The sequence below is a fragment of the Homo sapiens genome, chromosome 12 (assembly GCF_000001405.40).
Source record: "Homo sapiens chromosome 12, GRCh38.p14 Primary Assembly".
In the NCBI taxonomy this organism is placed as follows: Eukaryota; Metazoa; Chordata; class Mammalia; order Primates; family Hominidae; genus Homo; species Homo sapiens.
In genome coordinates, this window is record NC_000012.12 from 2169084 (window position 1) to 2185057 (window position 15974).

General features: G+C 47.3%; 1 protein-coding gene across 55 annotated transcripts in view, besides 1 other annotated feature; it reads left to right on the forward strand.

Moving 5' to 3' along the window:
• CACNA1C (calcium voltage-gated channel subunit alpha1 C) overlaps positions 1–15974 on the forward strand; it is a 727171-nt gene that overhangs the window by 198304 nt on the left and 512893 nt on the right. The window lies entirely within an intron of this gene.
• Positions 14628–15127: an enhancer, noted in NCBI's record as "H3K4me1 hESC enhancer chr12:2292877-2293376 (GRCh37/hg19 assembly coordinates)". NCBI's record gives its function as "activates a minimal SCP1, AML or CMV promoter by ChIP-STARR-seq in primed H9 embryonic stem cells {active_cell/tissue: H9 hESC(primed)}" and the evidence as "EXISTENCE:reporter gene assay evidence [ECO:0000049][PMID:30033119]".

Below are 15974 nucleotides of genomic sequence, written 5' to 3' on the forward strand. Positions count from 1 at the left end.
CCTCGTTAAGAGCTCAGGTCCTTTAGTGCTTGAAAGTAGCTGAGTGCACCACCTCTGTAAATCGATCCCGCACTCAGTTCGTGAAACATCAGGTTTTAGGAATTGGAGAGGCAGCAATATAATTTTTGTGTGCTGTTGCTTGAGTGAACTGTAAACCAAGGCTTTCTACCCAGGATTGCACGGCTTTTTACTTTGATGAATGTCATTTTACTCAGAGCTGACTAAATGATATTGTCTTATATGGCTCTCAAATTTTTCTCTGATCTGTTCCCAATCTGAAACGTGTGAGTACATCACTTCAGATATTTGCTAGGCATCTGAGCTTGGCCTGAGGATATTCACCAGCATGATTGAGAAAACATGCTTGTCCTCAGGAAGGCCCAAGTCTAAGCACCTGCTCATGCCCCTTCCTTGGCTGTGTGGCTTTTCTACGCTGCAAACCAAGCTTGTAGACATGGTGTACCTTTCCATAACAGGTCTCTCTCTTCTGTCATGTTGTGGTCACTGAATTGGATTTGGCAGAAATACCAGAAAGTGGAACATGTGGTCGCAGCATGTGACCTTCAAGTCAGGTCACGGCTGGCATTTGCCAGCCTCTGTTTGTTGGTTCTGGTGGAATCAGGCCTATGTGTGGACTCTGCTCCTACTATTTGAGGGCATTGTGAGGCCTTTTCTGAGTGTGTCTCCTGCCTCCTTGACTCCGGGCCTGAAGTTTCTGCCATTGATGTAACTCATATGTGTTACAGCATTGCCTCCAGAATTCTCCTATTTGTGAAGGCCTATTCTGTTAGAACAGGTTGATTGAGGAGCACATTACCTACTTCTGGTGCTCCATCTGGGGACTGTGGACAGCAGAAGAGTGGGGTGAGGTGAGCTTGAGGGGTTGAGGGAGAGTGACACAGAAGAGCAGGGCTGGCTCCCCTGAAACAGGAGGCTCCCCTGTCAGTTGTGGCAGGCTCTCTGCCTGGTTTTTTCCACTCCTTTATCCCCAGCACTTAACCTCATGTTTGGCTCATAGTAGATGCTTAGGAGATGAAAGCCTCATGTCCAACCATGGCCAACAGTTAAATCTGTGAATCTCAGGCTTGATTTCAGCTTGGCCAGGTCTGAGTCATTAAAGGACGCTTTGCATTTTTGGATAGTGGAACTTTTGCCATCTTATTCTTTTTCCATGGTGTCATGGCTTTGGCATGATCAGGGTTATGAAAAAAGGGGGATAAGCCCTCTACTCTGCTTTACCTGCCGTGACTGAGATCAGACACTGGTTTTTAGAGGGAAATGTCCATTTTAGAGCAAGAGAGAGAAGACCTTAAGCATGACCTAAAGAAAAGAGAGAGGCCAGGCTGTCCCACCACTTCATGCTTGGTTGACTGAGCCAAGTTTGACTGCAAGACTGGGTCTTGGCCCAGGATGGAGAATATTCACTAATGAGGCAATTGACTTCAAGAAGATCAAAATAATTAGTCAGTTTTCACTGCTATAGTGAGTCACCCTTGTGAAGACATTATGTTCCAACTGAAGAGTGAGGGAGTTGAGGTGGAAGTCTCCTGGCTCCTGCTCCCTGGGGAGTGCAGAGTGTGTCTAGAAGCCTGGGCTGGTAGGCCATGGAGTGGGGACCTGAGCTGTTTCCTTCTGCCTGTGCTTTTTCTCTTTCCTCTCCCACGTTCACTGGGAAGCAAGGAAGTTGAGGACACGTTACCTCAGTACGTACCACAATACGCATTAGAGGTCTGCTTCCTAGGCCCGTAGATTCTAGGGAGGGCACTCCAGGCCTGCAGGGGCCCTGAGGCAGGGGTTGGTGGGCATGAGAATGGGACCCACCCCTGCTGCTTGGGAGGGTATGTGTTGCCCTTGGAGGCAGGGAGAAGGGCTGGTCTGTCCCTGTGCTTGGGCACTCCCATCTGCACAGTGCCCTGTGGCAGGGAGAGATGGCCTCAGAGCCTGTGGTTCCTTTACCGTGGATGGCTTTTCACGTGTGGGGCTGGATTGCTGAGAACATCTTTTACCTGGCGGATCCCTGAATAGGTGAGGTGGACTCGGGTCTGGAAAGTTAATTTACATCTTTTCTGAAGGCCAGGGAAGGGCAGGGGCAGCCTGACCTGTCAGGGCGATACAGTCTGTAGCTGTTTGGCCAGAGTGAGAGGAGTGTCTGATGGAACAGGACTTGCCTTGGAACTGAGCAAACTGGCCCCGTAGAGATTAAGCCTTGGACCTTTGTTCGCCTGAGTCCCCCACCCCAGCCAGCTCACAGATAGGAGGCTGGAGAAGGGAGTGGGGTGGATCACACGCCATCCCCACATGCTCTCTGTGGGCCTGTTCTCTCCACGTGCGAGGAGGGATGAGCATTCTGCAGGGAGTCCGTCAAGATGAGTCCATGGTGGAAAAGCTCACAGACGGGGAGGTGGGGACTCCACAGGGTTCCGCCATTTCCTGGGAAGGGAACCTTAGGAATGTCACTTAAACTCTTTGAGCCTTCTTTCTCTTCTTTCCTCCCTCCCTTCTTCGTTTTCTCCCTCTCTTCCTTTTCCCCACAAATATTTTCTGAGTGCCCATCAGGAGTTGTAAATGCTGGAAATGCAGTGAAGAATAGCATAGACAAGGCTGGTGCTATGGCAGGAAGAGAGGGAAAAATGAAGCAAACAGCTAAGTCAGTCAGACTTTCAAATACGGGTAAGTGCTTTCAAGAAACTAGGATAACAGGTGGAGAGGGGCATGCGACTATCTCAGATAGCAGAGGAGAGGAAGGCCTCCCCGAGGGAATTCCACTTGGGCTGTGACCCTGTGATAAAGAGCCACTCATGATAGGTCTGGGAGGACGGCCACTATGCACAGAGGCAGCAGCACATGCCATGGCCCTGAGGAGGGAAGACCAGTATGCAGATGACCACAGGGCCCTATGGGAGGACAGAGACCAGTCTCTGAACCGAGCTGTGGGAGAGCGTGAATGCAGGGTTGTTCCTGCTTTGGACCGTGGACAATAAATAAACTCCTATTGTGCCTAGAAACCGCCTCAGTGTTGGGGTGTGTTTGCTGCAGCAGCTAGTGCCACCCTAACGACTGCAGTCTAATCATTGTGTGTGGCAGTACACACAGGACCTGAAGCAACCAGGAGCTTGAGCGCAGGGAAGTAAAGCTCATTATCACCTCAGCAACAGGGGCCCTGGGAGAACCAAAGGCCTGCTCCTCTCTGCCGCTGGCTGTTTCTGCTAGTCTGAGCCAGAGGCTCTATCCTGCTGTAATGTCAGTTTAAAAGGCAGCCTTTCCAGACTCTTGTCACATCACCAGGAGCTCTTGGTCCTCTAATTAAGTAGTAATGTGCTTGTCCAATAAGTGCCATATGGTTGCAATGAATCAAACCCAAATTATCTTAGCTCTAAAAATTAATATTACTAATTATGATAATCTCACAATTTTATGTCTGCTTTTCTTCTGAAGAGCTCAAAATGCAAGTATTAAAATAATATGTCCAAATATCCTACATTAGGAAGAAAGGAGGACCCACGGAGAAGTTGGGAAGATGGCATCCAACGTTAAGATAAGGCTCCCGTCTTTCTCTTGTCTTTATCTCTGACTTCATAAAGATAGCTAGTCTTTCCTGGCAATAAGCCAGAATAGTGATAGGATTAGGGAAACGGGATTATCTTAACGTCACAGAAAGGAGATGAGGCACAAATAAGGGAATGAAGCTAATTAGATACTGCAAAATGCCAAGATTGGAGAAAACTGGAATAGACTTACCCTGATGGACCTTGTCTGTGGAGAACGGATATAGGGTGGGTCCAGGGAGACTGGCCAGCCTTGGCTGGGGCCTCATGGGACCAGAAGTGGCAGTGGACAGCAGAGTTGGTGAGGAGCTGGGAGGGGGATTCACCAGGAAGGACTGAGTTCTGAATGGCAGGGACGTTTGCAGACAGGAGACTGGCGTCTGTCCAGGAGAGAGCAGGGCTTACTGTGAGCGAGGGAAGCAGTGGGATGAGTGTGTCCGGCGGTGTCTCTTACTTAAGAGTGACAAAGGAAGAGTGCAGGAGTTTCCGTGTTTGGCCCTAACCCAGGTCCACTTCACTGCCCTGAGAGATGTAGTGGGATGATGGAGGGGACTGGGGGCAGAGTGGATATTTAAGTCTGAGGGGAGAAGTTAGGAAAGGGTTGTGGGTCACAGAATTAGAGAGTTACCAAGGAAACTGCAGAGACCATTACTTAGTCAGTTCTCCATTTCCAGGAAGGTTTGTCACCATAGGAAAGAAATTCATTAACCTTTTATTCAACGGGTATTAATTGGCTATCATGTGCTTTTCTTACCCCACAAGAGCTTATGATGGAAGGTGATCATACAATTTATCATCCAAATTGGGATACATTTGAGAAGGAAAGGCGGCAGATTATGTGGGAACAAAGACTGGCCCATGCCAGCTGGGACATGTGGTCACCTTACTTATGATCTATGAGATGTATAATCACCCCATTTGTTGATACCAGGTGCAGTGAGATGCATGCTCTATGTGCAGTGTGTGTTTTCACCCTGTATCCCCATCTTCTGCTGGGAGCGGGACTCCCTTTCTCCCCGCCTGAGCCTGTTCTCCTCAGTAGCAGGATCCAGCTCAAGCCCTACCCCCACCTGCTCCACCACAACTGCCCCACTGCCACCACCACTAGGCTTGCTCCTTAACCTTTCTGTGCCTCAGTTCCCTGATCAGTAAAACGGGGCTAACTATAGTACCTACTACTAGAACTGTGCCTGACTCAAAGTAGGCACCAGATGTGTCCTGCTATGATGATGGGGAGCCCTGTGATTTGGTAACTTCCCCAATCTCTCTGCACTTTTGTTTCCTCATGTGGGAATCAGGGACAATATTACCTACCTTTTAAGGGCCTGGAATTTAAGAAAAATTAGCCCCCTTCCCCCTTAGAATCAGCAGCAGACATCAAAGGGCGAGTTTTAATACTTCCCACACAAGTTCACAGATTTATTACATAATATGTTTAGTTGTGGTTAAAGAACATCTAAGGGGCGAAGGAGCTGCCCAAGGGGAAGGAGGCAGACGAGAGGGACATGTGTGGCTTTGCATGGAAAAGGGAAGTGGTATCCCAGATAAATGGTGGCCAGCCTTCGAGGGCTCTCAGGCAAGAGAGAAAACTCTAGACATCACCAGTGCCTGGGCTTTGTTGCAGGCAGAGGTGCTTTCTCTAGAAGGGAAAGCAAGTCCCTATAGTCATAAAATGAGCAGCTCTTCAGCTGCTAGTACTTGACCTCCAACCAGAATTGATGGGGTGCTCAGAACTATTCTAGGTACTTTGAATTTTTTTAACCTCATTAAGTTCATCTATAAGACAGGTAGTTTTTATATTTTAAAATGATTTTATAACAGAAAATTTCAAATGTAATCAAAGAGACATAGATAATGAGTTCCCGTGCTCCAGCTTCAACAGTTATAAACAGTTGCTGATTTGGTTTTATCTATTTCCCTCAAGATTTTTTTTTCTTTTCTGGGATGTTTGGAAGCAAATTCCAGCAATTATATAATTTCACCTGTAAGTACAGTTTACCCTTGAACAACATGGGGGTTAGAGATGCTGACCCTTGGATGGTCAAAAATCTGCACATAAATTTTGACTCCCGCAAAGCCTAACTACTAACAATCTACTGTTTACCTGAAGCCTGACTGATAACATAAACAGTCGATGAACACATATTTTGTATGTTGTATGTATTATTTAGTGTATTCTTACAATAAAGTAGGCTAGAGAAAAGCAAATGTCATTAAGAAAATCCTAAGGAAGGTAAAATATATTTACTATTCATTAAGTGGAAGTGAACCATTGTAAAGGTCTTCATCCTCCTTGTCTTCACATTGAGCAGACTGAGGAAGAGAAGTAGGAAGAGGAGGAGGAGGAGGGCGGCTAGGTCTTGCCATCTCGGGTGGCAGAGGCAGAAGAAAATCCACATGTAAGTGACCCACGCTGTTCAAACCTGTGTTGTTCAAGGTCAGCTGTACTTTGGCATGCATCTCTAACAGACAAGATTTAAAAAAATATATATCACCAAATGCCTCTATCACTCCAGACAACAATAACAGTAAAACGCAAGAGATCCTTAACATCATCTAATATTCAGTTCATATGTAAATTTCCCTTATTATGTCGAAATATCTTTGCCGGTTGGTTTGAATCAGGATTCTAATAAAGTCTACACATTACATTTGCTTGTAGGTTTGTAAATCTCTTTTTATCTATGATTGTTCCCCCTCCCATTTTGCATGTCATTTGTTTGTTGAAGAAACTAGGTCAGTTGTCCTGCAGAATGTCCCTCATTTTGATTTGGTTGGCTGCTTCCTTATTGTCCCTTAATTTATTCCTTCATCCTCCATGTTTTCTGTGACCTCGGAGTTAGATTCAGGTTCCGTTTGTTTTGAAGGGAGGGTCAAGGATGTGCCAGCTGTGGTTATGCCCCTTCCTGTTGTGACACTGAGATGGGTGGGTGGGCTCCGGGATTGGCAGCCTCATCCTTCATCTATTACTGAGGCCCCATCAGCCTTTCCCCTGATGGTTTTCACATCCATTGACGATTGTTGCCCAGATCCATTATTTCATTAGGGCTTGAAATGCTCATTTTCTGATTCTGTCATTCCTTTTGCGTTGAGTAGCTGGAATTCTTCTATAAAGAAGAACGCTCTCTCATCAACAGTTTGGTTACCCTGAAATACCATGTGGCAGAAAAAGCAGGACAGGTGCTTTCTCATCACTTACCGGCTTTCAAAGTAATGAGTTGGTCCCTTGCAAAGGAGGATAGGTCTTTAATTAATTGATTAAACAAGTATTTATTGAGTTCCTGCTATATGCTGGGTATCGTTCTAACATCCTGATGGTTCAGCAGTGAACAAAACAGATAAAAATCCCTGCATTCTTGGAATTTACATTCCAATGGGGGAAGATGGATAGTGAACAAATTGGTGTGCTATATATTTAGTTCAGGGATGATACAGGCTATGGAGGAAAGCAAAGCAGGACAGGGACATGAGGATGCTAGAGGGGTGGGATGCTAGAGGATGCTAGGAATTTGGGTTTGCAATCTTGAATAGGGTAAGCAGGCTCAGGAGGTGACATTTAAGCAAACTCTTGAGAAGGTGAGAAATTGCTGGAGAGGAGCAGGCCAGGCAGAAGGCTGGAGTGCGTGAGGTAGGGATGCTGGTGTGGAGCCCGTGTGGGGAAGATGGTAGGAGACGGGCCTAGAGAGGTGGTTGCAGGGGCAGACCAGGCAGAGTCTTAGAAACCATTTTCAGGGCCTTGGTTTTCCCCTGGATGAGATGGGCAGCCCTGGAGGACTGTAAGCAGAGGTATAGTCTGACTCACGTTTTTAAAGGGTCCTGCTGGCCGCTTGGGGAGAAGATGGAGAAGTCAAGTAAGGGTAGAACTGAGTTTAGGCTTGAAAGCAGAGAGCCTTCAGCCCTGGTCAAGCTTCCTTCCATGTCAGCTAGGGCCTATTGGGGGGGTTGGAGCTGGGGGGCAGCAAGTGCTTCACCTGTTCCTAGGGGTTCTCTGTGCATGTGGCATTACAGGAAATGCTTCCAACTCAATCCCGTCCTTTAAAATTCCTAGGCATAGCATTCTCGAGCGCTTCAGGACATAAAATCCCGGAGCAGAAACCTTCCTCCCCGAGTCTCTAAACAATGGCTACATGTCCATCACCCCAGAGAACTGGAATTCCATTTTATACTGAAAGTGGGATACACGAGGACAATGCTATCACTTGACCCATCTTCTTTCATGGTTGGTGGTGAGTCTTTTGGACCGTCTTTACCATCACTGAAGAATTGGCATTGGCTAGCAAGGCACATTCAGGGGGAACTTCTCATGATTCCAGAACTCAGCATTTGTGGTGGGATCGGCCATCAGTCTACGGAGGGTGACCCCTCCACCCATGGCCAGGTCGGCTTAATCAATAGGTGTCTGATGGCATAAGGTGCAGAGCAACAGGGCACCTTTTCCTTTCCATCCAGATTTTCCCAGCCAGCTTGGAGAGCACTTTTTACCCAGGCTGCCTTCCCAACACCCAGAGAGCCCTTCTGTGGATGAGCATCTCTCCTTGCCTGTAACTCTCTCCTATCAAAGGCTGCTCGTGAATTTCTGGGTGCTTAGCAACCAGGAGAGGGGACGATACAAGCCGCCTCTATCCCTGTCAGGTAGCTGCTCCCGTTGTTCGTCTTCTCCTCTGGGTTTGTATATGCAGTGAAAGTAGCCAGAGAGACACTCCACCTCAACTTAAACAGCAACTTCCTAAATAAATAAAAAATACACAGAATCCAGTTCAAGCAGATCTTGCCTCAAAGACAGCTTGAAAGCATCCCTTCTCATTATTCCCTGCCTGATTTCCAGTGTTTCTCTCCCTTTCTTTCTTTCTCTTTCTTTTCTTGTCTTTCCCTCCCTCCCTCTCTCTTTCTTCCTTCCTCTCCTCTCCCTTCCCTTTCCTTCCTTCCCTTTCCTTCCCTCCCTCCCTCCCTCCCTCCCTCCCTTCCTTCCTTCCTTCCTTCCTTCCTTCCTTCCTTCCTTCTCTCTCTCTTTCTTTCTTTCTTTCTTTTTCTTTCTTCTCGCTCTGTTGCCCAGGCTGGAGTGCAGTGGCACGATCTTGGCTCACTGCAACCTGCGCCTCCTGGGTTCAAGTGATTCTCCTGCCTCTGCCTCCCAAGTAGCTGGGATTATAGGCTTCTGCCACCACACCAGCCTAATTTTTGCATTTTTAGTAGAGATGGGATTTTGCCATGTTGGCCAGGCAGGTCTTGAACTCCTGACCTCGGGTGATCCATCCGCCTCTGCCTCCCAAAGTGCTGGAATTACAGGCATGAGCCACTGCCCGTGGCTGATTTCCAGTGTTTCTATGTAACCCTCTGAGATTCCCACAAGCCTAGCATGAAGATGAGACACACCAAGGGAGGTGAGGAGCTAGGAGAAGGGCAGGCATCTCCAAATTGCAAGTTTCTTCTCAAACTGCAGATCTGCAGAGAAAAGGAAGGACACAGTGAAGGAAGCAGATTCTCCAAGGAAGGGATATCAGGACTTAGGAATGGACTCTTTGCCTCTTATTAAAAGGAAAGTTGCTTGCTGGGGAAGTAGCAGATTATTTCAAATGGGTATCCGTCCTTGGTAGCCACCAATATCCATCAGTTTAACAGGAGAGGAAATAGAGTTGTCATGCCAGGAGGATTTTGGAGGAGCCAGCGGCTGGCTATCGAGAAGGGAAGGGAGCTAGCACTTGCTGAGTTTCTTCAAGGGGCCATGCACTAACTGTAGGAAGCATGGACTTTGCTTTTTGCATGGGATGAACCTAACTCAGAGTTGATGCTGCATGTAGGATTATGTTTTTCCGACAATCCAGGGATCTGCAGAAGGCTTGCTACAGGATCTGAGCAGGAGTCTAAGCAGTTGTCTTGTGGTATCAATGCTCCTGTGTCTGGAGAGCTGGTCGCTAAGACCTGGAGTCTGGGCCCCTTGTGGGGGTGTCACAGAAGGCTGTGAACACCTCTCTGCTCCTGGAAAATGCCTTCCTTTCCTGGCCCCAGGACAGACTCTCCGACTTCCTTCATGACCGGGTTCCCACTCGGGAGCCTTTGGAACCGCTTGAGTACCAGATTATTAACAGGACCCGTGATTGTGATTTCTTCCCCCGTACAAATTCACAGACCCTGAGAAGAAAAGGAGAAGATAGGCTGGGCACAGTGGCTCTTGCTTTTAATCTCAGCACTTTGGGAGGCCGAGGCGGGCAGATCACCCGAGGTCAGGAGTTCAAGACCAGCCTGGCCAACATGACAAAACCCTGTCTGTACTAAAAATACAAAAATTAGCTAGTTGAGGTGACAGGCGCTTGCAGTCCCAGTTACCCAGGAGGCTAAGGCAGGAGAATCGCTTGAACCCAGAAGGTAAAGGTTGCAGTGAGCCGTGATTGCACCACTGCACTGCAGCCTGGTTGACAGAGCAAGACTCTGTCTCAAAATAAATAAATAAATAAATAATTTAAAAGAGGAGATAGATGTGATGGCGGTCTTTTCTGTACTTAGAACAACCTAATAGTTATTTAATGGATAAACAGGCATTAAAATGAATGTTTGATGACTTGGAATCCAGTCTTTTATAAAACTCTCAGTGTTCTGTGATTCCAGGCACTCATGGCTGTGGCAGGCATCCTGCCAGGTGGAGCTGGGAGTTCAGCACAGAAGTAAGTCGGGGAGGAGGTATGCATTGCCACAGACTTAGGAAGTGTTCCCTGGACCTGCTGATGATAGGTTGGTCTTAGCCATGTTCCTGAACAAGTAAGTTGTCTAATGAAAGGAAAACATACCAACCTGTTAGTGGAGTTAGCACCCTAGACCCATAGACTCTAAGGTTGGAAGGACTTTTGAAGTCATCTAGCCCCTTGCCCCACTCGATGCGTGATTAATACGCACCACAGAAACTCCGGGCTCTGAATACTGAACATTGACCCAGACCCCTATTGCGTTAGAAAATATTATTGCAATTAGTGGAATGCTGCTAGAATATTGGCTCCAGACCTGAGTCTCAAAGTTGGAAGAGATTTAGAAAGAAGGATGTCCAGAGGAAGGAACAGACATGAGTGAAGTTGGAAAATGGAGACTGGCAAAGAGTAGCTCGAAAAAGAACAAAGTTTCCTAATAATGACCACAAATGAGTATTTGGCTGTTCAATGGATATATGCTTGCTCCACGCTCATTGGATGCTAGCCTGCTCTCAGGAAGAGCTCTTGCCTTCCTGCCTCCAAACCACTGTACACACCGTTGCTAGATTGATCTCCCAAGAATCAGCTTCTACCATGCTCTTTCTCTGCTTCAAATGAAATTTTGATCATTTCTCTTCATCTGACAGGTGAAAATCAAAATTTTCTGAGCTTGGTCCTCAAGGCCCTTCCTTCTCCACTCATCCTTTGGCCAGGCAGGCCCTCCAACTGCCTCCTGAGCAGCCTCACTCAGGTCTTTGCTCATACTTGCTAGAATGGAGAGCACGTCTTCTCGTTCCCTGTAACCCCAACAGTGTCTGTTGTAAGGTTGAGCACACGGTAGATGGATGGATGAAGCCTTCATTCTGAGTAAACACGCATGCAAGTATAAACACATACCTACACACAGAAACACCACACACTCTTAAGTGTAGATGAAGAGAAAGAACCCTTTCTTTCTTCCCTGGTGTCTGGCAAAGGCCAAAGGGGTGGTGGGGAAAGCATTAGGATACAGAGGCTCTGGTTCTTGTTCCTCCCTGGAACTGGCTTCTGCTAGGAAGCCCAGCAGGGCCTGAGTGCTGGCAAGCCTGGCATGGAGCCCTCCTGCTTTGGAGGAAGCGAAATGTCCCAGCAGGATGAGTCAGTGGGAGAATGGAACCAGAAAGTGAGTCATTTTGGGAGCAGAGGCTAAAGGATCTTCTCTGCTCAAAGATATTTTAGGTCTTGGTAGGTTTTCCCCACTTCTCTTGTTTAGATATAAGTTTGGGGCATGTGACTACAGTGGCTCAGTTCCCAGATGTAATGCTGAGAGACTGTCCAGTGCGCTGCGTTCTAGAACATTTTTGCTGATAGGGAGGCCGTAAAGTGAGGGGCTGGTTTTGGAGCCAGGCAGATTGGGTTCTAATCACAGCGTGTCCCAGAATCAGCTGGGGACCTAGAGTGAGTTGTTTAATCTCTTAAAGTATAGTTTTTATCATTTTCAAAATGAGGGTTGTTGGAAATGTCAAATGGTTGTTCAGCAAGTGTTTGTTGAGTCCCTAGTGTGTGTCTGGCACAGAGCTGAGTGCAGAGTATGGGGTGCTGAATACTGCAGCCACGCATCCTGCCCTCTGGGGACGGGTGCAGCTTGGGATTGTGTTATATTTGTAGCAGTTCTGATGACAACAAGAATAAAATAAAACACCTGGATTTGTTTCATGAACATAACCCTCAAATCTGCACTCCCCTATTACGTGTTTGGGCAACTGAGTTTTGGAACCTACATATCAGACTCAAATGTTTTCTTCTGGGGGGTTACAGTCTGGGGAAGACCCCTGTGTAAAGCATGTAGCATAGTGCCTGTGGACAGGAGAGCCCAGTCCGTGACGGCGGTAACAATGATCATTACTACCTCTGTTATTTCCTGTAGCCAACTGACATCTTTGCACCTCTGTTTCCTCATCCAGAAAATGTTCAGCTGAATTGCAGTCCTTTCACAGAGGCAGTTCCTGAGTCTCTAGTCTTGGGGCTCATGCTTGAAGTTATTTAGAGAATCTCTAAGATACAAGTGGAGAGACAGCTGGAAGGGGCAGCACCCAGGCCTTCAGTGTGGGGACAGAGTTAAGATCAACATGATCACAGCAGACTGACACGGCGAGCTGAAACAAACAGGAAAACATTTGAGCCTGATGTTAGGTTCCAAAACTCAGTTGCTGAAAGGCGTAATAGGGGAGCGCAGATTTGAGGGTCATGCCCATGAAAACAAATCCAGGTGTTTTATTTTATTCTTGTTGCCATCAGAACTGCTACAAATATGACACAATTCCATGCTGCACCCACAGAATAGTGAGTAGTGTGTAGGCCAGGGCAAGAAAAAGAAGAGCAATAATATTCTAGTTATTGTAGGCCAGGGGACCCACATCCACGATATCGTTTTTTTACAGCTCATTACTGAATCCTCACAATAACCCCATGGGGTAGATATTACTGTTATTACCCTTTTATAGATGAGAACACTGGAGCTTAGCGAGGGTAAGTAATGGACTGCAAGGACACTCTGTCTCTGGCCCAGAGGAACAGCTGGAGGATGCAGGCAAGATGTGTGTTAAGGGGGTCCTGCAGAGTGGGGGTAAACTGATTCTGGATTACTCATTAATGTAGAACTCCGACCAGTGGGTGGAGGGTATGGGTTCAATAGGGAGCTCTTCAGAAATGGAACATGTTGAGAGGCCAGGAGTTCTCCATCCCTGAAAGCATTCAAGGAGAGGTTGGGTGGCTGTGGGAGGTATTGGAGAAGGGATTTTAACATCGGGAGGGAACTGGGGAGATTGTGTGTGAGTTTCTGTCTGCAAAAAAAAAAAAAAAAAAAAAAAATGACGGTACCAACCTTGAACCCATGTAATCTTCTTCAGTAATATTCAAGCAAGAACAGCCACCATAAAATTGTGTGAGCAAATCAGGTAATACTGGTGAAAGCCAAACACAGGCTCCCCGTTGTGTGAGTGAGAACATGACATTGTTACAGTGATGGGTTCATGCACCCTGGGGTGGGTATGCTGATGGTTTCTTCTGCTTCTGCTTCTACGAGGCCCCTCTCCCAATGCCTTTCCCAAATCTCTCCTTATGGGGTTTTTTTCCCCCTCCTAAACCACCTTAAATCGAAATCCACTCACATTTGTAGCCATTTCACAGTCTCTTTGCATATTGGTGAGCCCTGTCGGGGGTCGCTGGTATCTTATAGTATTGATGTTACAAAATGTAAAGTTACTTTGGGGAAATGACTTCTCTTCTGAAGCTTTTATAGGGAGAAGGTGGTGAGCTTACCCCTACACTCTCTCCTTTCCTTTGTCTAATTCCTCCACAGAACATTTGTCCGGTGCTCACTGTGGACTGGAAGTGTGCTAGGGACTGTGTACTGCAAGGTGACTGGGATGTGCGCCTGAGCATCCCTGAGTCCAAGGTAGGGGAAAGAGGAAGTGGTCCACGATGACACTGTGATGACGGCCATCCTGATGAAGGCACACCCCACCCTGCAGCGGCTCAGGGAAGGGGCGCGTGTGCAGACATCTTGCAGGCAGGGTTTAGATGGTGCTGTCCTCGGAAGAGAGGACTTTGGAAGAAGGTGGTCTTGGTTTCGGTCCTTAGTCCACCGGATGCCAGGTAATCCTTAACCTTTCTGAGCCTCTGTTCTTCACCTCTTAAATGGGGATATCACTTCCCCCAGATGATCTTTTATTTTGTTTTTAAAAAATTATTATTTTTAGTATTTTTAATAGAAATGGGGTCTCACTATGTTGACCAGGCTTGTCTCCGACTCCTGGCCTCAAACAATCCTCCCATCTCGGCCTCCCAAAGTGCTGAGATTATAGGCGTGAGCCACCATGCCCAGCCCCCTGACGTGATTTCTATGAAAATGAAATTAAATGAGTTAATTTAGGGAAGCCACTTAACATAATTCCTGGCTCAAAAAAAAAAAGAAAAAAGAAAGTTTTCTTCCCTTCCTGACCTTGTAGGAGAACAGAGCTCCTTCGCCTGAGGGGCATGAGTCCCTATGCAGAGGTTCCCTAACACCTGCTCATAGGTCTGTGTCCCGCTGATCTGGTAAGCACCGGGAATGGTCTCTTAAACACAAAGTTTGGGCTGCCTTCTCTAGAGATTCTATTTCCACAAGTGTGGGAAGGGGCTGCACGGGAATCAGAAATGTTTCCCCAGTGATTCTGATGCATAGTTCAGTTTGAAGACGTGCTAACAATATATACCAACAAAAGTTGTCTGCGTCTTTTTCTGGGGACAGACCCCCCCCCGGCTTTCATCAGAATGTCACGGTCCCACACAAATGAAGATGCATCCTCTCATGGTATGTGCTAGCGGGCACAGAGAGTGGGGCTGGAGAATGAGGGCTTGGTAGGCGAAAGGCCCCAGGGCCAGCCCTGCTCTGCCCTCGTCTCTTGCCTTCCCGCCAGGTGGGTCAGGAAATAGGAACAGGTGGTTAGTCACGGGGCTCTCCAGCAGGTAGGGCAGTGGCTGAGGAAATAGCGGTATCTCATCAGCTCTGTCTCTAGAGGTTCTTAAGATACTTAGTTGTCACCAGCCTGAAAAGTCAGCGTGGAAAATGTTCCAGCCTGGTTCCTGTAAACGTAAAATCTGTTATGAATTATATCCATCCACGTGGAAGAGGGAGACAGAGTGATCTGGTATGTGCAGGAGAGGGCCAGCCTCTGCCTGGTCTGAAAGCTTTTGCAATTGTTCCTAATTGGCCCAGTCTTTTTCTGCAGGAATCTCCTCTCTTTTCTCCATCCCATCCCCCACTGCCTGCAGCTTCTGATTTCTTGGCAAGGCAAGCAGGCACCAGAGCTGGGGCTGCGGTTGTTCTGAAGGATTTTCAGGTGTGCGTGTTGAAAGCCGGCAGGAAGAGAATGCTGGCTCTGTGTTTAGCAGCCGAAGGGACTTGTTATTTAATGTGTCTTCTGAAGCCACGAGGCCTCGGCTTTGTAACTTGCTTTCTTTATTCTTATAAATCTTCTAGGATGCTCCATGGACTGTAGGAGGAGCTCTGACTTCCCGACCATACCCTTGTGTTTACCACTACAGGGACAGAGGTTCACAGCTGCTTCTGGTTGCTGTAGATGATCTGGTTCCCTGATAATTTGAGATAAGTTTGTGTTAGTTTGGAGTCTTCGGTGAATACGTTAGGGTACATGTTTCTTCGTCGTTCCTGGCAGGGCTGATCATAGACCACATCAACCCAAGAATGTGTTTGCCTCTCTGATGAGGCTACATCTAGAATATGAACTTGTCGAGTGCTTAAGTATCTTTCTACATAGTTTATTCATTAGCCTGTTCATTTATCTGTTCAACAACTATTTCTTGCTTGTCAACCATGTTCTAGGCATGTCATGGGCTCTGGAAGCAGAGTGAGAAGCAAGGCTAAGTCCTGGGCTCACGGAACTTAGGTTCTAATGAGGAAGACAGGCAAACAAGGCGCCGTGGAGAGGCAGGCAGAGAACCTTGCTTTCCAACCCTGCTCAGAGGTGCAGTCTCTTTATATATCCCACTTCCGCTATCCCCAAACATGCCCATTAGCACTGACATCTAAAGGGCTCATGGTGAATTAAAATGTGACCCCACCTCTGGGTATTTAGTCATTTAGTATTGAACTGGGGTTAAAGTCCTAAGGAAAGGCATGTGGAGCTAATATTTTTGGGGGGACAGGCCCTACTGGCAGCCATGGAATCTTACTCCGCGTGGCTCATTGCTCCTGGGCTTTACAACTCAA